This window comes from Homo sapiens, chromosome 5 (genome assembly GCF_000001405.40).
Source record: "Homo sapiens chromosome 5, GRCh38.p14 Primary Assembly".
NCBI classification, from domain to species: domain Eukaryota; kingdom Metazoa; phylum Chordata; class Mammalia; order Primates; family Hominidae; genus Homo; species Homo sapiens.
Window position 1 is genome coordinate 112,656,332 of NC_000005.10, and position 26,757 is coordinate 112,683,088.

The 26,757-nt window shown below is 38.6% G+C and overlaps 1 long non-coding RNA gene across 1 annotated transcript; it reads right to left on the bottom strand.

Moving 5' to 3' along the window:
* Positions 1-96: 96 nt before the first annotated feature.
* LOC102467216 (uncharacterized) lies at positions 97-26,557 on the bottom strand. The gene is made up of 3 exons (NR_104673.1): positions 26,513-26,557; positions 1,864-1,949; positions 97-441 (listed from the first exon to the last, which is right to left on the bottom strand). It is a non-coding gene; the product is annotated as an uncharacterized LOC102467216 (long non-coding RNA).
* Between the last annotated feature and the right edge of the window lie 200 nt (positions 26,558-26,757).

The window sequence follows — 26,757 nt, forward strand, 5'->3', positions numbered from 1 at the left end:
TTACAATGGTGAAAAACTACACATTTTAAAAGGAGAGCAAAAAATATTTTTTAAAGTCAGCCTTAAATTTATCAAAAAGAGCCAAACTAGGAGATGGAAAAATCTAATACAATTTTATTATTAATAGTTATCTACTGCCACTTAACAAATTACCCCAAAACTCAATGGCTTAAAAGAACAAACATTTCTTTTCACAGCTTTTGTGAGCCAAGAACCTGGGAGAAGCTTAGCTGGGTGGTTCTGGCTCAGGTTTTGCCATCTAGAGACTTGACAGGTGCTAGAGGGTCCTCTTTCTAACTGTCTCATGCAGCTGTTGTCTGGAGGCTTTCATTCCTTGTGACGGCTCACAGAATCATCTTGTGGATCTCACTTCAGAGCTGGTGTGTAGCTTCACAATAGGGTAGTTGGCTTCCCTCAGAGTCAGTGATCCAAGAGTGTAAGCTGGGGGGAATCGGGATGCTTTTGATCTGCTAGTCACATACCCTTACTTACACTGTATTTTATTCATTAGAAGAGAATCATCAAGGCCAGGCATGGTGGCTCACACCTGTAATCCTAGCATTTTGGAAGGCCAAGGCAGGAGGATTGTTTGAGGCCAGGAGTTCAAGACCAACCTGGCCAACATAGCGAGACCTCATCTCTATAAATAATTTAATTAATTAAAAAGAAGAGAATCATCAAGTCCAGCCCACACTCAGGAGGAGGGGAATTAGCCTCTGCCCTTTGGAGGAAGAATGTGAAAGAATTTGTGGACACATTTTTAAATCATCATATGATAACTTAAAAAACTGTGAGAGGTAACTGGCAGGAAGGGCTTGGGAGGAGCACCAACTTCTAGAACAGAACAGAAAAGCCAGATACACAGGAAGGCTCAGCTCCTACCTTTACTGCTGCCCCCAGAAACAGTACAAGACAGTCAACAAAATCTTGAGGACTCTTACCAAAACCTCCAGATAAAGATAGAATATATGTACTGAGTGCATATGTGTATCTCTCTCATCTTCTGACTGAGAAATGATGGGAATGAATGCTGAAGGAAAAGGGATAAATAGAGAAGTGAGCAATGGCTCTGATGCTCTGAAAAGTATGAGAGGCTCCAGGGTTCCAGACTGAATTAGGAAAACAATCCAAAACCCCCGAGTAATACCAACACTGTTGGGGCCCTGCCCACACCCCTTCAGCATTCACAATTCCTATATCTGGTTTTTGAGCTTCCAACTGCAACCACCTATAGCTGAGAGTTGTTCTGCTTTGTTTTGTTTTGTTTTGTTTTGTTTTGTTCTGTTTTTGAGACAGAGTCTCGCTCTGTCACCCAGGCTGGAGTGCAGGTGGCATGATCTTGGTTCACTGCAACCTCCACCTCCCAGATTCAAGCAATTCTCCTGCCTCAGCCTCCCAAGTAGCTGGGACTACAGGCACGTGCTACTACATCCCGCTAATTTTTTGTATTTTTAGTAGATATGGGGTTTCACCATGTTGGCCAGGCTTGTCTTGAACTCCTGACCTCGAGTGATCCGCCTGCCTTGGTCCCTCAAAGTGCTGGGATTACAGGCGTGAGCCACCACACCCAGCCTCTGAGGGTTCTTTTGATCAGCAGAGCCCATTTGGCCTCTTGTGGGGCAGGCAGAAAGTGCTGGGAAGTTAATGCCTCCTTCCAGCAATGCTCAACCAATGACTGACAACAGGTGGGACAAATATCCAATTTCTCCACTCTCAATTGCAGTAACTCTGATATGTGTTCTGCACTGCCTCCCAGAGATCCCTGGTGGGATTGAGCTGCTCCTATGGCCCACAAAAGTAACCTTTTACTGGCTCACCCTTTACTGGCTTTCTTCCCTTCCCTTCCTCACTTTTTCCACTCACCTACCAGTGCTTCCTGGGACTTTCTCCCAAATAAACTGCTTCCACTCACTTTCTTGTCTCAGGTTCTGCTTCTGAGATAACCCAACCTAAGAACCAATGAAAAGAACAGGACACATGCTCAAATGGGAAGTATGAACCCTGATATAGAACAATTAACAAAATCCCAGAAGACAGAGTAGAGCCCAGGTAATATAAAAGATAGCATACCCATGATTATCTGTAGTATGTTTCCACTTTTATAAAAGTGTCAACCTAAATAACAGAGACAGAGTCTCTAAAAGAAAATTATACCTATTCAGGAATAAAGCATTGCAATGGGAATATGTGTGCCACGTAAACTATACGCATATTCAAGGGGGTAAAGGAAGACGAAGGCTTTTAAATGAAAAATGAGGAGGATTACATAATTGTTTTGAGATAATTTTCCTTGGGTTACAAGGATCAATAACAAGGGTGACACCAGTCCAAGTTTGGACAGGCAGTTGGGGGTAGATATTCTCGCAAAAGTATTTTTTGTGTAAGGTGGTGATGGCCTTTGTACAAGGTTGTGGTTTTTGCAGTCTTTTGTGACAGTTTTTGTCACCAAGTATTTATGCATGTGAACCCTTCTCTCCATGGCCTTCCTTGGCTCTATTTGTCAGAGTTTTTGTTGTTTTTTTTTTAAACACAAGGGACTATTTTTATTCTGACAACTTTTACAAAAGTACTCCACTCCTGTTCTTCAACAAGCCAGCAGCCATCTATTTGTCTATCTTTTATTCATCCACCTGTAGACATGCATAGAAATATGTGTAGGCACACGCACTATGCCATGCTGCCATGGCTGCTGGCACCCCCTGTGAAGCACTTTGGCTGTCACCACTCATTGGAGTGTTGTGGCCAGTAGACCAAGAACACCTTGGCTCCTCCAGTGCAGCAGGTTCCTAATTTCAAAGGGCCAGAGAACAAAGGCAGGGACCTGGTACCAGCCCCACAAAGCTAGAACATGCAAACCAGAGGTGTTGACCTGGGCCTTGGTTCCCTAAAATCTTCCAGTAATGAACTCAGTTGACTGAACCCACCTTTTACCACAATCAAACCCCCAAGGGTATCAAAGAAGATAAAAAGAAAAAAAACATTCAAAGGACAGCAACTTAAAACATTGAAGGATCACCAGCCCAGCCTACAGAGATGAGAAAGAACCAGCTCAGGAACTCTGTCAACTCAAAGAGTCAGAGTGTTTTCTTACCTCCAAATAATCACACTAGTCCCCCTGTTCTTAACCAATCTGAAGTGACTGAAATGACAGACATAAATATTATTCAGATTATGGATAGGAAAGAAGATCATTGACATTCAGGAGAAAGTCAAAACCCAGTCCAAAAAAAATCTAAGGAACACAATAAAATGACACAGGGCAGTAAAGATGAAATGGCCATCTTAAGAAAGAACCAAACGGATCTGATAGAACTGAAAAACTCACTTCAAGAATTTCATAATACAACCACAAGTATTAACAGCAGAATCAACAAAACTGCAGAAAGAATTTTAGAGCTCAAAGACAAGTTCTCTGAAATAAATCAGTCAGACAAAAATAAATAAAAAATAATAAAGAAGAATGAAGAAAATTTCTGAAAAATATGGGATTATGTATAGAGACCAAATGTATGATTCATTGGCATACCTGAAATAGAGGAAGAGAAAGCAAGCAACTTGGAAAACATATTTGAGAATATCATCCATGAGAATGTCCCCAAGTGCACCAGAGAGGCCAACATTCAAATTCAGGAAATGCAGAGAACCCCTGCAAGATACTATTCAAGATGATCATCCACAAGACACATAGTCATCAGATTCTCCAAGGTCAAAATTAAAGACAAAATGTTAAAGGCAGCTAGAGAGAAGGGTCAGGTCACCTGCAAAGGGAATCCCATCAAGCTAAAAACAGACCTTTCAGCAGAAATGCTACAAGCCAGAAGAAATTGGGGGCCTATATTTAATATTCATAAAGAAAAGAAATTCCAACCAAGAATTTCACATCCAGCCAAACTAAGCTTCATATGTGAAAGAGAAATAAAATCCTTTTCGGACAAGTAAATGCTAGGGGGATTGGTTACCATTAGACTTATTTTACAAGAGGTCCTTAAGGGAGTGCTAAATGTCAAAAGGAAAGACCATTACTGGCTACCACAAAAATACACTTAAGTATATAGACCACTGACACTACAAAGCAGCCACACAATTAAGTCTGCATAACAACCAGCTAAACAACATGATGATAGGATCAAATCTGTACATGTCAATATTAACCTTGAATGTAAACAGGCTAAATGCCCCAATTTAAAGGCAGAATGGCAAGTTGGATAAAGAAGCAAGACCCAACTGTATGCTGTCTTCAAGAGACCCATCTCACGTGCAATGACAGCCATAGCCTCAAAGTAAAGGGATGGAGAAAAAATTACCAAGCAAAGAAAAAACAGAAAAAAAGCAGAGGTTTCCATTGTAATTTCAGACAAAACAGACAATAAGCCAACAATGGTCAAAAAGACAAGAAGGGCATTACAACAATGGTCAAAAAAGACAAAGAAGGGCAATACATAATGGTAAAAGGTTCAATTCAACAAGAAGACCTAATTATCCTAAATACATATGCACTCAAAACAGGATGACCCAGATTCACAAAGCAAGTTCTTAGAGACCTATGAAGAGACTTAGAACCCACACACACAATAAATAGAGACATCAACACCCCACTGACAGTATTAGACAGATCATCAAGACAGAAAACTAACAAAGATATTCAGGACCTGAGCTTGACACTTGACCAACTGGGCCTAACAGACATCTACAGAACTCTCTACCCCAAAACAATAGAATATACATTCTTCTCTTCGCCATATGGCACATACTCTAAAATTGACCAACAATCAAACATAAAACAATCCTCAGCAAATGCAAAATAACCAAAATCATACCAAACACACTCTCAGACAACAGCATAATAAAAATAGAAATCAAGACTTTAAAAAAAATCACTCAAAACCATGCAATTACAAGGGAATTAAGCAATCTGCTCCCGAATGACTTTTGAGTAAATAATGAAATTAGGCAGAAATTAAGAAGTTCTATGATACTAATGAGAACAAACAAACAACATACCAGAATATCTGGGACACAGCTAAAGTGGTGTTAAGAGGGAAATTTATAGCACTAAATGCCCACATCAAAAAGTTAGAAAGATCTCACATTAACAACCTAACATCACAACTAAAAGAACTAGAGAAGCCAGAGCAAACCAACCCCAAAGCTAGAAGAAGACAAGAAATAACCAAAATCGAAGCTGAACTGAAGGAAATTGAGATGTGGGAAAACCATACAAAAGATAAGTGAATCCAGGAGTTGGATTCTTTGAAAGAATAAATAAGACTGATAGATTGCTAGCTAGACTAACAAAGAAAACATAAGAGAAGAGCCAAATAAAAACAATGAGAAATGACAAAGAGGACATTACCACTAACCCAACAGAAATACAAAAAAAAATTCTGAGAGACTACTATGAACACCTCTATGCACACAAACTAGAAAACCTAGAAGAAATTGATAATTCCTGGAAATATGCCAAGATTGAACCAGGAAGAAATTGAATCCCTGAACCAAACAATAATGAGTTCTAAAATTGAATCAGTAAAAACAAAAAGGCTACCAACATAAAAAACCCAAGACTAGACGGAATCACGGACAAATTCTACCAGACATATAAAGAAGAGCTGGTACCATTCCTTCTAAAACTGTTGCCAAAACATAAGGAGAAAGGACTTTTCCCTAACTCATCCTATGGGGCCAGCATCATACTGATACCAAAACCTGGCAGAAACACACAGACACATACAAAAACATCAGGCAAAAGATGAACATAGATGCAAAAATCCTCAACAAAATACTACAAAAACAAATCTAGCAGCACATCAGAAAGCTACTCCACCACGATCAAGTGGTGCTTTATCCCTGGGATGCCAGGTTTCAACATATGCAGATCAATAAAATTCATGTCGAACCCAAAAAGAGCCGGAATAGCCAAGGCAATCCTAAGAAAAAAAAAGCCAGTGTCATTTCACTATTTACATTTCAAACTGTGCTACAACGCTACAGTAACCAAAACATCATGGTACTGCTACAAAAATAGATACATGAATCAATGGAACAGAATAGAGAGCCCAGAAACTATGTCACACACCTACAATCATCTGATATTCCACAAAATCAACAAAAACAAGCAATGGGGAAAGGACTCCCTATTCAGTAAATCATGCTAGGATAACTGGCTAGCCATATGCAGAAGACTGAAACTGGACCCCTTTCTTACACCATATACAAAAATCAACTCAAGATGGATTAAAGATTTAAATGCAAAACCTAAAACTATAAAAACCTTGGGCAACAACCTAGGAAATACCATTCTGGACATAGGCCCCAGCAAAGATTTCATGATGAAGATGCCAAAAGCAATTGCAACAAAAACAAAAATTGACAAATGGGACCTAATTAAACTAAAGAGTAACTATCGACAGAGTAAACAGCCTACAGAATGGAAGAAAATATTTGCAAACTGTATATCTGACAAAGGTCTAATATCCAGAATCTATAAGGAACCTGAACAAATTAACAGGAAAAAACAAACAATCCCATTAAAAAGTGGGATGAACAGACACTTTTCAAAAGAAGGCATGCATGTGGTCAAAGGGCATATGAGAAGATGCTCAACATTACTAATCATTAGAGAAATACAAATCAAACCCACAAGGATACCATCTTGCACTAGTTAGAATGGCTATTATTAAAAAGTCAAAAAATAACAGATGCTGCAGAGGTTGCAGAGAAAAGAGAACATTTATACATGCTGTTGGAGATGTAAATTAGTTCAGCCACTGTGGCAAGCAGTGTGATGATTTCTCAAAGAACTTAAAACAGAATTACCATTTGATCCAGCAATCTCATTAATGGGTATATACCTGATATGGTTTTGCTATCTCCTCACCCAAATCTCAACTTGAATCATATCTCCCAGTATTCCCACATGTTGTGGGAGGGACCCAGGGGGCGGTAATAGAATCATGGAGGCCGGTCTTCCCCATGCTATTCTCATGATAGTGAATAAGTCTCACAAGGTCTGATGGGTTTATCAGGGCTTTCTGCTTTTGCTTCTTCCTCATTTTCTCTTGCCACTGCCATGTAAGAGTGCCTTTTTCCTCCCACCATGATTCTGAGGGCTCTCCAACCATGTGGAACTATAAGTCCAATTAAATCTCTTTTTCTTCCCAGTCTCAGATATGTCTTTATCAATAGCATGAAAACAGACGAATACAATACCCAAAGGAATATAAATAGCTCTATTATACCATAAAGACTTGTGCATGCATATGTTTATTGCAGCACTATTCACAATAGCAAAAACATGGAATCAACCTAAATGACCTTCAGTGACAGACTGGATAATTAAAATGTGGCACATATACACTATAGAATACCGCACAGCCATTAAAAAAAAAAAAAATGAGATCATGTCCTTTGCGGCAACATGGATGGAGCTGGAGGTCATTATCCTAAGTGAACTAACACAGGAACAGAATATCACATGTTCTCACTTATAAGTGGGAGTTAAACATTGAATATACGTGGACACAAAGAAGGGAACAACAGATTCTGGGGCCTACTTGAGGATGTAGGGTGGGAGGAGGGAGAGATGGAAAAACTACCCATCAGGAACTGTGCTTATTACCTGCGTGACAAAATTATCTGTACACCAAAGCTCCATGACACACTATTTACCTGTATAATAAACCTGCACATGTACCCCCGAACCTGAAAGTTTTAAAAAATTAAAACTAAAAAAGTAAATAAAAGAAAGAAGAGAAAGAAAGATGTCTAAAGTCATTTCTTATATTAAGTCTAATTATGTCTACGTGGTGCAATCTGGCCTGTTTTTAACCTTCGTATTTGTTCTTTTTCATTATACACATTCTCTATAATAAGCATGTACCATTTTTAAAACAACAATGATGATTGTTTTCTTTAAAAAGCAAGAATTGAGGGAGTGGAAAAAGTAGATATTGATCAAAGGGAACAAACTTGCAGTTATAAGATGAATAATTTCTGGGGACCTAAAGTATAGCATGGTAACTATAGTTAATAATAATGTACTGTGTACTTGAAATTTACTGAGTGGATCTTAAGTATTTTCACCACAAAAAAAGGTAACTATGTGAGGTGGCAGATATGTTAATCAGCTTAGTTGTGGCAATCATTTCACAGTGTATATGTATATCAAATCATCACTTCGTACACCTTGAATATATACAATTTGTATTTGTCAACTATGCCTCAATAAAGCAGAAGAAAAAAAGGTTAGAAAGAATTATGCCAAGAGGTAAGAGTAATTCATTCCAGATGGTGTGAATTTAGATGATTGTGACTTTCTTTTATGACTTTCTGTATGTTTAATGAGAAGCTGTTTATTTTTTCTTCCTTGTTCCTATCAAATCAGTCATGATTTTTAAAATCAATAATACACAGTGTTGATGAAAGACCATGAAATAGGCAATTTTACATGTCACAAGGTAGAAGGAGGTTGCTTTAAAGTAGTAAGTTGGCAAAACTTTTCAGGAAGGTAAATTAACAATATAAATCAGAGGTCTTCAAAACCTTGATGCTTTTGATCCAGTAATTCTTCCATGTATTTAGCTTAAGGCAGTGTTTCCCAAAGGTTGGTCCCAGTATCAGAATCACTCCGGCCCCACCAAAGACATCTGAATCAATATCTCTGGGGCTGAGATCTTGGAATTGTGCATTAACAAGTTCTCCTGATAATACTTATATATACTAAGGCTTAAGCCCTACTGGCCTGGGGAAATGAGATTCATTCATTAATGTTTATTCTCTACAAAGAATCAGGCTCTGTCCCCTGCACTGGGGACATAGCTGTAAATAACACAGAAAAAGTCCTTTGATTCATCTATGTTTTTAGTTTGTTTGTTTTTGAAGCAGAGTCTCCCTCTGTTGCCCAGGCTGGAGTGCAGTGGAGTGATCTTGGCTCACTGCAACCCCCGCCTCCTGGGTTCAAGCGATTCTCCTGCCTCAGTCTCCTGAGTAGCTGGAACTACAGGCACACACTGCCACGCCTAGCTAATTTTTTGTATTTTAGTAGAGACGGGGTTTCACCGTGTTGCCCAGGCTGGTCTCAAGCTCCTGAGCTCAGGCAATCGCCCACCTCGGCCTCCCAAAATGCTTAGGATTACAGGCATGAGCCACCACGCCCAGCCTGTGTCTAATTTTTTTAATAAAAAATTTAACATAAATATATGGATTATAGTAATATTTATTACAAAAATAAGAAGTAATGGTAATATTCAATGCTATTCCAAAGAATGGCAAGGGGACACCTTCATTATGTGTTGTCAGATGAAAATAGTTATGAACCCTTTTTTAAAAATATACATATGTGTTAATTAAAAGACTAAAGGGTAATATATATACACAAAAATATTAATATTAATTTTGGTTATCTCTGAAAAACATGATTATAGGTTATTTCTGTTTCCTTCTTTGTTCTTTTTGGTATTTTCCAAATTCTTGGAATAAACATGAATTACTGACATAATCAGAAAAATATATAATGTTTAAAGAGGTTGATTTAAACACTAGAGAAAATAGGAAATTTCCAGTGCTGGGTGTATCTTTTAAAATATGTTTTGATTTAACAATATTAGCCCATAGTTACTTTTCTTACTGACCTGAAGCTTAGAACATTCTATTCCCATTTTTGTAGCTATTCATTTTCAATTTCAGTCTTAAGGAGGTAAGCTTTTAAATTCTCTATAAAAGGAGAGCTCAAGAAGATTCTTAACATTTAATTTTTCTTTTTTAGATTTTTAGTATTCATTGCTTTCTTTGGCTTTTTGTGTGTTTGTTTTTGAGACAGAGTCTAGCTCTGCCACCCAGGCTGGAGTACAGTGGTGCTATCACACCTCACTGCAGCCTCGCTCTCCCAGGCTCAAGCGATTCTCCGTCCTCATCCTCCTGAGTAGCTGGGACCACAGGCATGCATCACCTTGCCTGGATAATTTCTTTTTTTTAAGACACTAGGACTCCCTATGTCACCCAGGCTGGTCTTGAACTCCTGGGCTCAAGCAATCCTCCTGCCTTGGCCTCCCAAAGTGTTGGGATTACAAATGTGAGCCACTGCACTTGGTCTCTTCCTTGGATTTCAAATATAATACATAATTGTCATGTAAAAATATTAGAGAAATGTAGACTAAAGAAAGAGAAAGCCATAATTCTAGCTCTTCCCCACCCCTAAGGAAACCACTTTACAGGGATGGGTTATGTTCTTCCAGATTCTTTTCCAGATACATATGTATGTATTATGTATACTTTATATCCAGTCATGTGTCACTTAACAACAGGGATAGTTCTCAGAAATGAATGTATCCCTGCTGAAGGAATACATTTTTCATTCTGAGAAATTAAGCAATTTCATCATTGTGTGAACATAATGGAGCATACTTACACAAACTGAGATGGTATAGCCGACTGCACACCTAGACTACAAATATATAATCTAATTCTCCTAGGCTATATATAGCTGTATATATAGATACAGTCTATTGTTCCTAGGCTACAAATCTGTACAGCATGTTACTGTGCTGAATACTGTAGGCAACTGTAGCACAATGGTAAGTATTAGTGTATTTAAACATAGAAAAGACACAATAAAAACGCAGCATAAACGATTTTAAAAAAATGGTGCACTCGTGTAAGGCACTTACCACAAATGGAGCTTACAGGACCAGAAGTTGCTCTGGGTAAGTCAGTGAGTGAGTGGTGAGTGACTGTGAAGGCCTAGGACATTACTGTGTGCTACTGTAGACTTTATAAACACTGTATACTTAGGCTACACTCAATGTATTTTAAAATTTGTTCTTGCTTTAATAATAAATTAGCCTTAGTTTACTGTAACATTTTTACTTTATAAATGTTTAAATTTGTAAACTTTTTGACTCTTTTATAGTAACACTTAGCTTAAAACACTGCTGGACATGGTGGCTCACACCTGTAATCTCAGCACTTTGGGAAGCTGAGGCGGGAAGATCGCTTGAGCCCAGGAGTTCTAGACCAGCCTGGGAAACATAGTAAAACCCTGTCTCTAAAAAATAAAATTAAAAAACCCACACATACACACAAAAACATTGCACAGCTATACAAAAATATTTTCTTTCTATCCTTATTTTATAAGCTTTTTTCCTTTTTTTTTTTTTTAACTTTTTAAGCTTTTGTTAAAAACCAAGACACAAACATACACATCAGCCTAGGTCTAAGCAGGGTCAGGATAATATCACTGTCTTCCTCCTACACATCTTGTCCCACTGGAAGGTCTTCAGAGGCAATAACACACATAGAGTTGTCATCTCCTGTGACAACAATGCCTTCTTCTGGAATACCTTGTGAAGGACCTTTCTGAGGCTGTTTTACAGTTAATTTTTTTATCTTTTTATTTATTTATTTATTTATTTTGAGACGGAGTCTCTCTCTGATGCCCAGGCTGGCGTGCAGTGGCACGATCTCGGCTCACTGCAACCTCCACCTTCCAGGTACAAGCGATTCTCCTGCCTCAGCCTCCTGAGTAACTGGGATTACAGGTGCGTGCCACCATGCTCGGCTAATTTTTGTATTTTTAGTAGAGACGGGGTTTAACCATGTTAGCCAGGCTGGTCTCGAACTCCTGACCTCAAGTGATCCACCTGCCTTGGCCTCCCGAAGTGCTGGGAATACAGGCATGAGCCACTGCGCCCTGCCTACAATCAACCTTTTAATATATATAAGTAGAAGGAGTATACTCTAAAATAATGATAAAAAGTGTAATACAGTAAACACATAAACCAGTAACAGTTGTTTGTTATCATTATCAAGTATTATACAGTACATAATTGTATTGCCATACTTTGTATATGACTCATAGTGCAGTAGGTTTGTTTACAACAGCATCACCACAAACAGATGAGCAATGCCTTGTGCGAAGACACTATGATGGCTACCACATTACTAGGCAATAGGAATTTTTCAGCTCCATCATAATATTTTTGGATCTCCGTCATATATGTGGTTCACCGTTGACCAAAAATATTATGTGGCACATGAGTGTATAAACACGTACACACACCCATATGCACATACATGTATACATATATAATTTTATTTACTTTGATACTTTACACACTGTTTGGACTTTGCTATTTCCTTTTACCAAATGTTTTAGATCTCTTTCCATGTCATGTTATAGAGATGTACACCATCTTTGTAATGACTGTAGTATACAGTTACATTGAATGCAAATATCTTGATTTAATTAAATAATTCCTCTCACTTACACATCATATTTTATAATATTATTGCTGATGTGTAAGAAACCTATTGATTTTGGCATGTTTATAGCCATTCCTGACTTTCTTACTGATATCTCTCATTAAACCTCATTGTTTTTCTTTGTCTTAAATTTTCTAGAAAGACAATCATATCATTTAAAGATCATGACATTTTTTATTATTTCTTCTCAATATCTCCTATCCTATTTCTTCCTATTGTCTTATGCTTTGGGTAAGACCTCCAGAAAAGCGAGTGATAAATGTCACCAAGCATGACCATCTGTATAATTTAGGTAAAAGTTGATATTTTGGGTTCTAGAATTATCGAGAGAGCTAAGTGATCTAATTAACTTGTGCAGACCTGGCCTGAATGTGCTTGTTCTCAAACACCACCTGCTTTCACATAACCTTATAATACACTTTGCAGATAGAGGGTTAGAATGAACCTGTTCAATTGCAGACTGCAAAGTCACAATGAGGAGGTGGCTGGGTGCACTATTGTAGGTGGATCTAATTTTCAGTTTTCCATCTTATACATAATCTTGTTCTATACCCAATTTCCTTTTTCTGCCACCTTCAATCATAAAGTAAAAGAATTAGGAATCCTCCTTTTCTACTGTTTTCATATCTGTCCTATCCCCAGACAGCTCTACTTGCAACTGGATGGTGATAACTTAGGAAGGTAGAGCTGATTCATCAAGTAGCGAAGGGCTTACGTGACTACCTAATATCTTTCTAAGTCTTGGTGACAGGGATAACTATTCGGTAGGATTACTGATATTATTAAGTCCATCTAGAAAGTTGCTTTAAATTGAGTGAGGGGAGGGCAGTTTCATTTTTAAAAATTATTTCCACTTGATCTAAAAATCAGGCTAGCAAGCTGGACTTATTATGGCTTTCGGTGGGTTGCAGGGAGGAAGCAAAGACTGTTTGAGGTCAGCACAATACTGTCAATACCCAAGTTGGAAAGTTATGCTGTTTTTACTTAGTCTCGTCTTGTTCTTAGTAATTGCTTCCTTTCAACCATAAAGTTGTTTAGTGTAGGAGATATATTCCCAGGCTTCTCTTTATATTCACTGCTGCAAGATCCCTTTTTAGCATAATTACAGTCTTGGAATTGAAGAGACAGGCTCACTCTATCTAGCTATGCAGCTGGCTTTCTCAAATGACAATACGATGCTCACCAGCTTAGCAGCATCCAAGGCTGTGAGCCAGGGGGAGGCCCTTATGCTGAAATTTTGCCCTTGCTTTGTCTGTATTTCCTCTGTGAAAATGGAGAAATGGTTTAGAATTTTTAAAAGCACAGAGTTTTTAATTCCCTGAGAGCTTTTAAAGGGACACGCTGAGTTCCAAATGCAGATTTCCAAATCCCAAATCAGAGATTATTCATCTTTACATCTCAAATAGGTATTACTGAGAAAAAAAAGATTTTGCAGTGCTTTTCTCCTTTTTCTTACAATCTTTTCTTTCTGAGAGAAGACTAATAAAATCTAAGCCAGACATGGTGGCTCACACCTGTAATCCCGCACTTTGAGATGCCGAGGACGGCGGATCACTTGAAGTCAGGAGTTCAAGACCAGCCTAGCCAACATGGTAAAACCCCGTCTCTACTAAAAATACAAAAATTAGCCAGGCGTGATGGTGGGTGCCTGTAATCCCAGCTACTCAAGAGGCTGAGGCAGGAGAATCGCTTGAACCCAGGAGGCAGAGGTTTCAGTGAGCTGAGATCGTGCCATTGCACTCCAGCCTGGGCAACAAGAGCGAAACTCCATTTCAAAAAAAAAAAAAAAAAGACTAAATAAAGTCTAAATTTGCCTACCTTCTTTACCTATAGTTGATTCCACATTCAACTTCACTTGAAGTTATTTTCATGATTTGAAATAATTAATAACTTGTTCACAAAAAGTTGTTCACATTCAACCCTCAGTTACCAAGAGACTTAAGTTTACATCTACACTGATTTATCTTCTCAAGAAGACCCGGGCCTCTCTTTTCTTCTACTCAGCTTGCCCAGATGTATTGCCTCCTGCCCCAAGTTCTGTTTGTCCTTCCTTCACACAAATTCATGCACCCTTCCCCTTTCTATCCCAATTATCACAACCTCGGTTTAGGTCTTTATATCTATTTTCCGAACTATTAAAAAAGCTTCCTAAATGATCCTTCTACTTCTAGGCTCTCCCTATCCACACTCTTTTAAAGGTAGGATCAGCCTGTGTATAGCACCATTTAAACTGTAATGAACAAAAGACTTAAAAACTATCCATACATAACAGGTGCCAAAATGAGCACTTGGAATACACGGATTTTGAAAGACACTCTCAGGAATGGACTTTCTGCCCTGTTCAAACTGATGTTTCCCTGAGACAGGTTCCATATAGCAGCAGTTTTCAAATTTGGGGTGGGGAGGGGGAGCTTTTTTTTTTTTTTTTTTTGCCCTCCAGGAAAGATTTGAAGTGTTCGGAGACATTTTTGATTGTTAAAATTGGGGTGAAGGAGGGAGTTACTGGTATCTAGTATGTAGAGGCCAGGGAAGATGGTAAGCATACTAAAATGTACAGGAAAGCTCCCACAATAAAAAGTGTACAGTACAAAATCTCAATGGTGCTAAAGTTAAAAAAGTCTGCACATGTTCATAAATAACTGACACATTTTCTCTGAGTTCAATGCTTCCCATCTCCATATAATCAAATCCTACCATTCTCCAAAGTTTGTTTCAACCTCATCTCTCCCAGTTCTCTCTCAAAGTTCCCAAAGCAGTTCTAATCCAAATTACTCACAGTGGGTCGATCAAGCATTATCTTCCTTTGGAGGTATTGTCTGTGTCCCATGTGCCCTATCTTCCAATACCCTATCTTGTCAGAGCATAGCTGCAAGTCATTGGGCCCATATTCCACTGTATTGCCCACAGCACTGACACACATTACACAATTATTTAATACTTGTTATTCAAAGATGAATCCATCAGCATAGAAACTGACAACTGAAGTGGTCAGAAAAGAAAATGCTGCAGGGCTCAGATTGGGGCAATTAATCTACAGCAATCTTATTGAGAGCAGAGATAAGGGAAATGGGAATATAGAGAAAGATAGGAATGAGGACTCCAGGATGTACTACCTAGAATAAGAGAATTAGAATGTGTATTTACTTTGATATGATTTCTTTTACAGGAAAAAAAAAGAATGTGCATTTAATCAGATTTTTTTTATTGTGGTGAAATACACTCAACCTAAAATTTATCACCTTAACCATTTTTAAGTGTACAGTTGTATGGCATTAAGTACATTTATATTGTTGTGCAATCATCACCACCATTCATTTCCAGAACTTTTCAATCTTCCCCATTAAAATTCTGTATGCACTCAACACAAACTCTGCATTTCCTCCTTCCCCCAACCCCTGGCAACTACTATTCTACTTTCTGCCTCTGTTATTTTGTCTCCTCTAGGAACCTCATCAAAGAGGAATCCCATACAATATTTGTCCATTTATGATTGACTTATTTCACTTAGCATGTCTTAAAGGTTCATTCATATTATAGCATGTCAGAATTTTCTTCCTTTTTAAGGCTGAATAATATTTTATTATATGTATATATCACACTTCATTTATCCGTTCTTCTGTTGATGGACATTTGGGTTACTTCTATATTTTGACTATTGCTGAAATGCTTGTTGTGAACATGAATGTATAAATATCTGTTCAAGTCCCTACTTTCACTTCTTTTGAGTATATATCCAGAGGTGGAATTACTGGGTCTTGTGGTAATTCTGTTTTTAATTTTTTGAAGAATTTCCGTACCATTTTACATTCCCAGAAGCAATGCACAAGGGTTCCAGTTTCTGCACATCCTCACCAACATTTGTTATTTTCTGCGTGATTTTTTTTTAATAATAGCCCTTCGAATGGGTGTAAAGTGGTGTTTCATTGTTGCTTGATTTGCATTTTCCTAATGACTAGTGAGGTTAAGCATCTTTTTACCTGCTTATGGATCATTTATATATATTCCTTGGAGAAATGTCTACTCAAGTCCAACTTTTAATCAATTTTTTTGCTGTTGTTGTTCAGTTGTAGAAGTTCTTTATGTATTCTGGATATTGGTCCATTATCAAATACATGATTTGCCAATATTTTCTTCCCTTCTGTGGGTTGTTTTTGCATTCTGTTAATAGCGTCCTTTGATGCACGCAAGCTTTTAATTTTGATGAAGTCCAACTTAAATAATTTTTTCTTTCATTGCCTGTGCTTTTAATGTCATAGCCAATAAGTTATTGCCAAATCCAATATCATGGAGCCTTTCCCCTATGTTTTCTTCTAAGAGTTTTATGCTTTCAGCTTATACATTTAGGTTATTGATCCATTTTGAGTTAATTTTTGAATATGATATAAGGTAAAGGTCCAACTTCATTCTTTTGCTTGTGGTTATCCAGTGTTCCCAACAGCACTGGTTGAAAAGACTGTCCTTTACCCCACTGAATGGTCATGGCACCCTTGTCAAAAATCATTTGACCTTGTATGAGAGAAATTGATTCTGAATTCTCTATTCGACTCCATCGGTCTATATGTCAGTCTTTACACTGGTACCACATGGGTTTGATTACTGTGTTTTGTAGCAAGTTTGAAAATCAGGAAGTAGGAGACCTCCCACTTTGGTTTTCTTTTTCAAGATTGGTTTGGCTATTCAGACTCCTTTGAAATTCCATATGAATTCTAGGATGATTTTTCTGTCTCTGCAAAAACTGTTGTTGGAGTAGGGATTGCATTGCATCTATAGAGCACTTTAGGTAGTATTGACATCTTAATATTTAGTCTTTCAATCCATGAGCACTGAATATCTTTTCATTTATGGTGTCTTCTTTAACTTCTTTTACAAGCATTTTATAGTTTTCAGTGTACTAGTCAATCAGATTTTTTTTTTATTATTACACTTTAAGTTCTAGGGTACATGTGCACAACATGCACGTTTGAAACATAGGTATACATGTGCCATGTTGGTTTGCTGCACCCATCAACTTATCATTTACATGAGGTATTTCTCCTAATGCTATCCCTCCCCAAGCCCCCTACCCCCTGACAGGCCCTGGGGTGTGATGTTCCCTGCCCTGTGTCCAAGTTATCTCATTGTTCAATTCCCACCTATGAGTGAGAACATGCAGTGTTTGGTTTTCTGTCCTTGTGATAGTTTGCTGAAAATGATGGTTTCCAGCTTCATCCATGTTCCTGCAAAGGACATGAACTCATCCTTTTTTATGCTACATAGTATTCCATAGCGTATATGTGCCACATTTTCTTAACCCAGTCTATCATTGGTGGACATTTGGGCTGGTTCCAAGTCTTTGCTACTGTGAATAGTGCTGCAATAAACATACGTGTGCATGTGTCTTTATAGTAGCATGATTTATACCCCTTTGAGTATGTACCCAGTAATGGGATTGCTGGGTCAAACAGTAATTCTAGTTCTAGATCCTTGAGGAATCACCACACTATCTTCCACAATGGTTGAACCAATTTACCCTCTCACCAATAGTGTAAAAGTGTTCCTATTTCTCCACATCCTCTCCAGCATCTGTTGTTTCCTGACTTTTTAATGACTGCCATTCTATCTGGCATGAGATGATATCTCATTGTGGTTTTGATTTGCATTTCTCTGATGACCCGTGATGATGAGCATTTTTTCGTGTGTCTGTTGGCTGCATAGATGTCTTCTTTTGAGAAGTGTCTGTTCATATCCTTTGCCCACCTTTTGATGGGGTTGTTTGGTTTTTTCTTGTAAATTTGTTTAAGTTCTTTGTAGATTCTGGATATTAGCCCTTTGTCAGATGGGTAGATTGTAAAAATTTTCTCCCATTCTGTAGGTTGCCTGTTCACTCTGATGGCAGTTTCTTTTGCTGTGCAGAAGCTCTTTAGTTTAATTAGATCCCATTTGTCTATTTTGGCTTTTGTTGCCATTGCTTTCGGTGTTTTAGTCATGAAGTCTTTGCCCATGCCTATGTCCTGAATGGTGTTGGCTAGGTTTTCTTCTAGGGTTTTTATGGTTTTAGGTCTAACATTTAAGTCTTTAATCCATCTTGAATTAATTTTTGTATAAGGCGTAAGGAAGGGATCAAGTTTTAACTTTCTACATATGGCTAGCCAGTTTTCCCAGCACCATTTCTTAAATAGGAAATCCTTTCCCCATTTCTTGTTCTTGTCCAATTTGTCAAAGATCAGATTGTTGTAGGTGGGTGGTGTTATTTCTGAGGCCTCTGTTCTGTTCCATTGGTCTATATATCTGTTTTGGTACCAGTACCATGTTGTTTTGGTTACTGTAGCCGTGTAATATAGTTTGAAATCAGGTGGCATGATGCCTCCAACTTTGATTTTTTGTTTAAGATTGTCTTGGCAACGCAGGCTCTTTTTCACTTCCATATGAACTTTAAAGTAGTTTTTTCCAATTCTGTGAAGAAAGTCATTGGTAGCTTGATGGGGATGGCATTGAATCTATAAATTACCTTGGGCAGTATGGCCATTTTCACAATATTGATTCTTCCTATCCATGAGCATGGAATGTTCTTCCATGTGTTTGTGTCCTCTTTTATTTCATTGAGCAGTGGTTTGTAGTTCTCCTTGAAGAGGTCCTTCACATTGCTTGTAAGTTTGATTCCTAGGCATTTTATTCTCTTTGAAGCAATTGTGAATGGGAGTTCACTCATGATTTGGCTGTTTGTCTGTTAATGGTGTATAGGAATGCTTGTGATTTTTCACATTGATTTTGTATCCTGAGACTTTGCTGAACTTGCTTATCAGCTTAAGGAGATTTTGGGCTGAGATGATGGGGTTTTCTAAATATACAATCATGTCATCTGCAAGCAGGGACAATTTGACTTCCTCATTTCCTAATTGAATACCCTTTATTTCTTTCTCTTGCCTGATTGCCCTGGCCAGAACTTCCAACACTATGTTGAATAGGAGTCATGAGAGAGGGCATCCTTGTCTTGTGCCAGTTTTCAAAGGGAATGCTTGCAGCTTTTGCCCATTCAGTATGATATTGGCTGTGGGTTTGTCATAAATAGCTCTTATTATTTTGAGATATATTCCATCAATACCTAGTTTATTGAGAGTTTTTAGTATGAACGGCTGTTGAATTTTGTCAAAGGCCTATTCTGCATCTGTTGAGATAATCATGTGGTTTTTGTTGTTGGTTTGGTTTATGTGATAGATTATGTTTATTGATTTGCATATGTTGAACCAGACTTGCATCCCAAGGATGAAGCCCACTTGATGATGGTGGATAAGATTTTTGATGTGCTGCTGGATTCGGTTCGCCAGTATTTTTTTGAGGATTTTCGCATCAATGTTCATCAGGGATATTGGTCTAAAATTCTCTTTTTTTTTGTTGTGTCTCTGCCAGGCTTTAGTTTCAGGATGATGTTGGCCTCATAAAATGAGTTAGGGAGGATTCCCTCTTTTCCTATTGACTGGAATAATTTCAGAAGGAATGGTACCAGCTTCTCTGGTAGAATTTGACTGTGAATCCGTCTGGTCCTGGACTGTTTTTGGTTGGTAGGCTATTAATTATTGCCTCAATTTCAGAGCCTGTTATTGGTCTATTCAGAGATTCAACTTCTTCCTGGTTTAGTCTTGGGAGGGTGTATGTGTCGAGGAATTTATCCATTTCTTCTAGATTTTCTAGTTTATTTGCATAGAGGAGTTTATAGTATTCTCTGATGGTACTTTGTATTTCTATGGGATCAGTGGTGATATCCCCTTTATCATTTTTATTGTGTCTATTTGATTCTTCTTTCTTTTCTTCTTTATTAGTCTTGCTAGTTATCAATTTTGTTGATCTTTTCAAAAAACCAGGTCCTGGATTCATTGATTTTTTTGAAGGATTTTTTGTGTGTCTATCTCTTTCAGTTCTGCTCTGATCTTAGTTATTTCTTGCCTTCTGCTAGCTTTTGAATTTGTTTGTTCTTGCTTCTCTAGTTCTTTTAATTGTGATGTTAAGGTGTCAATTTTAGATCTTTCCTGCTTTCTCTTGTGAGCATTTAGTGCTATAAGTTTTCCTCTACACTCTGCTATAAATGTTTCCCAGAGATTCTGGTATGTTGTGTCTTTGTTCTCATTAGTTTCAGAGAACATCTTTAATTCTGCCTTCATTTCGTTATGTACCCAGTAGTCATTCGGCAGCAAGTTGTTCAGTTTCCATGTAGTTGTGCGGTTTTGAGTGAGTTTCTTAATCCTGAGTTCTAGTTTGATTGCACTGTGGTCTGAGGGACAGTTTTTTTATAATTTCTGTTCTTTTACATTTGCTGAGGAGTGCTTTACTTCCAATTATGTGGTCAATTTTAGAATAAGTGCGATGTGGTGCTGAAAAGAATGTATATTCAGTTGATTTGGGGCGGAGAGTTCTGTAGATGTCCATTAGGTCTGCTTGGTGCAGAGCTGAGTTCAGCTCCTGGATATCCTTGTTAACCTTCTGTCTCATTGATCTGTCTAATATTGACAGTGGGGTGTTAAAGTCTCCCATTATTATTGTGTGGGAGTCTAAGTCTCTTTGTAGGTCTCTAAGGACTTGCTTTATGAATCTGGGTGCTCCTGTATTGGGTGCATATATATTTAGGATAGTTAGCTCTTCTTGTTGAATTGATCCCTTTACCATTATGTAATGGCCTTCTTTGTCTCTTTTGATCTTTGTTGATTTAAAGTCTGTTTTATCAGAGAGTAGGATTGCAACCCCTGCTTTTTTTTTTTTTTTTTTTTTTTTTTTTGCTGTCCATTTGCTTGGTAGATCTTCCTCCATCCCTTTATTTTGAGCCTATGTGTGTCTTTGCAGGTGAGATGGGTCTCCTGAATACAGCACATTGATGGGTATTGACTCTTTGTCCAATTTGCCTGTCGTGTCTTTTAACTGGGGCATTTAGCCCATTTACATTTAAGATTAATATTGTTATGTGTGAATTTGATCCTGTCATTATGATGTTCACTGGTTATTTTGCCCATTAATTTATGCAGTTTCTTCATAGCATTGATGGTCTTTACAATTTGGTAGGTTTTTGCAGTGGCTGGTACCAGTTGTTCCTGTACATGTTGAGTGCTTCCTTCAGGAGCTCTTGTAAGGCAGGCCTGGTGGTGACAAAATCTCTCAGCATTTGTTTGTTTGTAAAGGATTTTATTTCTCCTTCATTTATGAAGCTTAGTTTGGCTGGATAGGAAATTATGGGTTGAAAATTGTTTTCCTTAAGAATGCTGAATATTGGCCCCCACTCTCTTCTGGCTTGTAGGGTTTCTGCCGAGTGATCCACTGTTAGTCTGATGGGCTTCCCTTTGTGGTTAACTCGACCTTTCTCTCTGGCTGCCCTTAACACTTTTTCCTTTATTTCAACCTTGGTGAATTTGACAATTATGTGTCTTGGTGTTGCACATCTCGAGAGTATCTTTGTGGTGTTCTCTGTGTTTCCTGAATTTGAATGTTGGCCTGCCATGCTAGGTTGGGGAAGTTCTCCTGGATAATATCCTGAGGAGTGTTTTCCAGCTTGGTTCCATTCTCCCCATCACCTTCAGGTACACCAGTCAAACATAGATTTGTTCTTTTCACATAGTCCATATTTCTCGGAGGCTTTGTTTGTCTCTTTTTACTCTTTTTTTCTCTGACCTTCTCACTTCATTTCATTAATTTGATCTTCAGTCACTGATACCCTTTCTTCCACTTGATCGAATCAGCTATTGAAGCTTGTGCATGCATCACGAAATTCTCATTCCACGGTTTTCAACTCCACCAGGTCATTTAAGGTCTTCTCTACACTGTTTATTCTAGTTAGCCATTCATCTAATCTTTTTTCAAGGTTTTTAGCTTCCTTGCAATGGGTTTGAACATCCTCCTTTAGCTCAGAGAAGTTTCTTATTACCGACCTTCTGAAGCCTGCTTCTGTCAACTCGTCAAATTCATTCTCCGTCCAGCTTTGTTCCATTGCTGGCGAGGAGCTGCGATCCTTTGGAGGAGAAGGGGGCGCTCTGATTTTTAGAATTTTCAGCTTTTCTGCTCTGGTTTCTCCCATCTTTGTGGTTTTATCTACCTTTGGTCTTTGATGTTGGTGACCTATGGATGGGCTTTTGGTGTAGATGAACTTTTTGTTGATGTTGGTGCTATTCCTTTCTGTTTGTTAGTTTTCCTTGTAACAGTCAGGTCCCTTAGCTGCAGGTCTGTTGGAGTTTGCTGGAATTCCACTCCAGACCCAGTTTGCCTGGGTATCATCAGCGGAAGCTGTAGAACAGCAAATATTGCACAGCAGCAAATATTGCTGCCTGATCCTTCCTCTGGAAGCTTCGTCCCAGAGGGCAGCTGCCTATATAAGGTGTCCATTGGCCCCTACTGGGAGGTGTCCCAGTTAGGCTACATGGGGGTCAGAGACCCACTTGAGGAGGTACTATGTCCGTTCTCAGAGCACAAACGCCATGCTCGCAGAACAACTGCTCTCTTCAGAGCTGTCAGACAGGGGTATTTAAGTCTGCAGAAGTTGTCTGCTACCTTTTGTTCAGCTATGCCCTGCCCACAGAGGTGGTGTCTAGAGGCAGTAGGCCATGTTGAGCTGCGGTGGGCTCCACCCAGTTCGAGCTTCCCAGCTGCTTTGTTTACCTACTAAAGCCTCAGCAATGGCAGACCCCCTTCCCCAGCCAGGCTGCCGCCTCGAAGATCAACCTCAGACTGCTGCGCTAGCAGTGAGCAAGGCTCCTGCTGAGCCAGGCACGGGAGAGAATCACCTTGTCTTCTGGTTGCTAAGACCTTGGGAAAAGCACAGTATTTGGGTGGGGAGTGTCCCATTTTTCCAGGTAGTCTGTCATGGCTTCCCTTGGCCAGGAAAGGGAAATCCCCCAACCCCTTGTGCTTCCCAGGTGAGGTGATGCCCTGCCCTTCTTCAGCTCGCCCTCCATGGGCTGCACCCACTGTCCAACTGGTCCCAGTGAGATGATCCAAGTACCTCAGTTGGAAATGCAGAAATCATCCATCTTCTCTGTCCATCATGCTGGGAGCTGCAGACTAGAGCTGTTGCTATTCGGCCATCTGGGCAACTCCGAGCATCAGTCAGAGTTTTTAAAGAATGTTATTTTTTTGCAAGCAACATAATAACTGTATAGAAAATTTAGAATAAAAATTATTCATCCCAAATCTCACTTTCCAACAAATCATTTGGCCTCATTTTCCACATGTCTCCTTTAAGTTTTAGCTGCATATATAGATAATTTCAACATAATTATAATCATGTCATGAATCCAATTTTAAACCTGGGTTTCTTCTTTTTTTTTTTTTGGCAGGATCTCACTCTATTGCCCAGGCTGCAGTGCCGTGGCACAATCATAACTCACTCATTAAAGCCTCAAATTCCTGAGCTCAAGCAATCTTTTAACCTCAGCCTTCTGAGTAGCTGAGACTACAGGCATGCAACACCAATGCCTGGCTAATTTTTCAAATTTCTTCATGGAGACAGAGTCTCTCAATGTTGCCCAGGCTGGCCTTGAACTCCTGGGCTCAAGAAATCCTCCCATCTCAGCCTCCCAAAGCACTGGGATTACAGATATGAATTACCACATCCAGCCAGAACCTGAGTTTCTTTAACTTATTATTATATCCTACCCATTTTTCCACATTTTCATATAGTCACTTTAAGAGATTTTTAGTGTGCTGGACCAATAGCAGACTCTGATAGGGGAAAAGACAGCCAGTTCTTTTCTACCCCTTTGGGATGGGGTAGAAATAAAAAAATCCTCTTTTTTTTTTCTCTTTGAGTAGTGAAAATAAATACTTCCTAAGCAAAAATTAAAACAAGAGATTCAAAGACTGCCCCCAGGGAATTCCTTTTGGTTCTTCGATGAGAACAGTCACAATTCAAAATATATTGACTGGCTTTAGCTATGTCTCCTCTGATTCCTCTCGAACCTTAACTCTAAAACATAACATGTAATATTTGCAACCCATCTTAAAAGACAAGAATCCCAGTGCATAAACAACACGTATTTGCTGCACTTTTCACAGTGGATGACGGATATATTTATATCCATCTGCAACTCTTGATTACTCTGAGTTTACTCAGAGTTTTCCATAGATGTTCAGAAATTCTGTGAAACTGGATCAAATCCAAATAGGTTTTCACATGAAGAGCCCATCTTAACAATATTTGATTTTATCACCTTTCTTGTAATGAAAAACTAGGCTGACAGTATTGGGTGTTCAATTGGGAGGTATGAATTAGTAAAGACAGGTTTTGGAAACTTTGCCATGCCAAGCTTTTTAATCAGAGTAGTGAACGTGCCCCTACAGTGAAAGCAGCCTGTCCCCTAGAATTATCTCTCTTCACGTAGTTAGAAGGAGCCTGTACGTACTTGACTGCACCCATGAAAACCCACAGCTTCACCTTTCCTTTCCAAGATTTGTGACATTTCTTAGATAAATTTGAGGACTGATGAAATGTAAGTAGAGGTCCTGGATTCCGCCTTTCTTTAACTGTTCCCTACCTTTTTAATTTTTTTTTCTTAATTTGAAGACCATGTATGTCTAATGAGACTTTCTTAAGATGTTATGAACCAAAAATTTTTGACCAATTCTTTTTCTTCTTATTATTCTTCATCATCATTATCATCATCATCATCATAGACTCTTATTCTAATTTTAAAGCTGTTTATATAAATGTCTCAATAAGTCACATTTTTCTACTATCACTACTTTCTCAGGGTTCAGCAATTAAAACATGGTTACAGCACATACAGTATTCCTTCTAATTAACTTCTGTTTCCCTTCACACTCAGTTTAAAATGAAATATTTTTTTAACTGGAATATATTTTGATAGGCTTAAATTAAAACTTTTTTTAATGCCCAGAGTCCAGCCCTAAAAGATCTGAGACCTTACTCAGATCTCAGAGGTTAAAATAACGAACAACTTACTGAACAGCTACTAGAGAACTCATTAGTTTCACTTTTCAGGCTGGGTGCCAAAGGTGGGCTGCTTCCATCTGTGGGACACACACACACCTTATTGTAGACTGCAAAATGCACATATTTTAGCCAGTCACTTTCAGCATGTTCCAGGAAAGTAGATAGCTCCATTAGGTAATGTCAGAGAAGATAAATATGTTTCAATTACTTGCCAAAAATGCTTAGTGAGCATCAGAGAGATGCATTCTGCTTTCCAAATTACTAAGCAGACTATTCAGAAGTACTGAAACATTCATTTTTCATTGCAGATTCTTGACCAGAAGCCAAGGACAGCTGTCTTCCTCTAACACCCTATGGTGATGCCCACAGGAACTCTCTCCTTTCAGGGTTCAACCCACTAAAAGGTGTGAAAGGATGTGCATTTAGCAGCCCTGACATCTACGATTTGACTGAAGGATTTTAAGCACAGAAACCCATGGATCCCGGAAGGGCCATGATCTACCTTTAGATGCTTTGTCTCAGTAATAGCAATGTGTCTGGGTTTCTCTGCATAAATATACTGAAATAAACAATCACAGTCTGTATGTTATTTGTATGTATAAATATATAAATGTATGAATAGGTATTATGCATCTTTCTGGAAAGTAGGACCTGAATCTAAGTCATGATATAATTAAAACGTGGCATTTCGCTCGATGTATACAAGTGGTACAGTGAAAACATCAACCATTTCTGAAAAACTGTTTTTGAAAATCAACTTCTAGGACTATCTGCATCAGAATTATCTGACTTTCAAAAACTGCAGATTTCTGTGTTTCCCTGAAGGTAGTGTCTTGGAACTTGCTTTTTAACAAACACTCTAGGAAATGGCCTCTTTCTTAAACATCTTTTATCCAAGGAGGACTCCCTGAAAGTCCCCCTGAGAGGGACTAAGTTCTTTTTTCCCCCTTGGTAGAAGGAAAGAATTAAGCATTTACACTGCTGAATTGGTTTAGGCAAAACTACCCATTAAAATAAGGAGCAGTTAGTAGCATTATTATGATGTCTGTCGAGTAAGTCATCTTTTCTCATTCTGGCTTTTCCTCCATTTTTCTCCATTATGCTCCAGCTGTGGGCCCTCAGTTATTCTCACTGATCTTTATCTAGCTCACTAAATGGCAGAGACTAGCCACCATGGCCACTCCATTTAGGGCATGACTAAGTTATCAAATGACTATTGCTTATTAGTAACTCATACTGGGTGACTAGAATCCTAGCTAGATTTTTCCTTCTGACCACTAGGCTGCTTGGGTTGCTATAACAAAATACCACAGACTGGATGACTTAAACAACAGAAATTTATTTACTTACAGCTCTGGAGACTGGAAGTTCAAGATTAAGGTGCCAGTCGATTTGATTTATGGCGAGAGCTCTTTTCCTGGCTTGCAGAGAGCTGCCTTCTCATTGCGTGCTCCTGTAACCTCTCCTTACTTAGTCTGTGTGCTTGCAGAGAGACCTGATGTGTCTTCCTCTTCTTATAAGGGCTCCAACCTTATTGGGTTAGGGCCCCACCTTTATGACCTCATTTAACCTTTATTGCCTCCTAAAAGACCTAT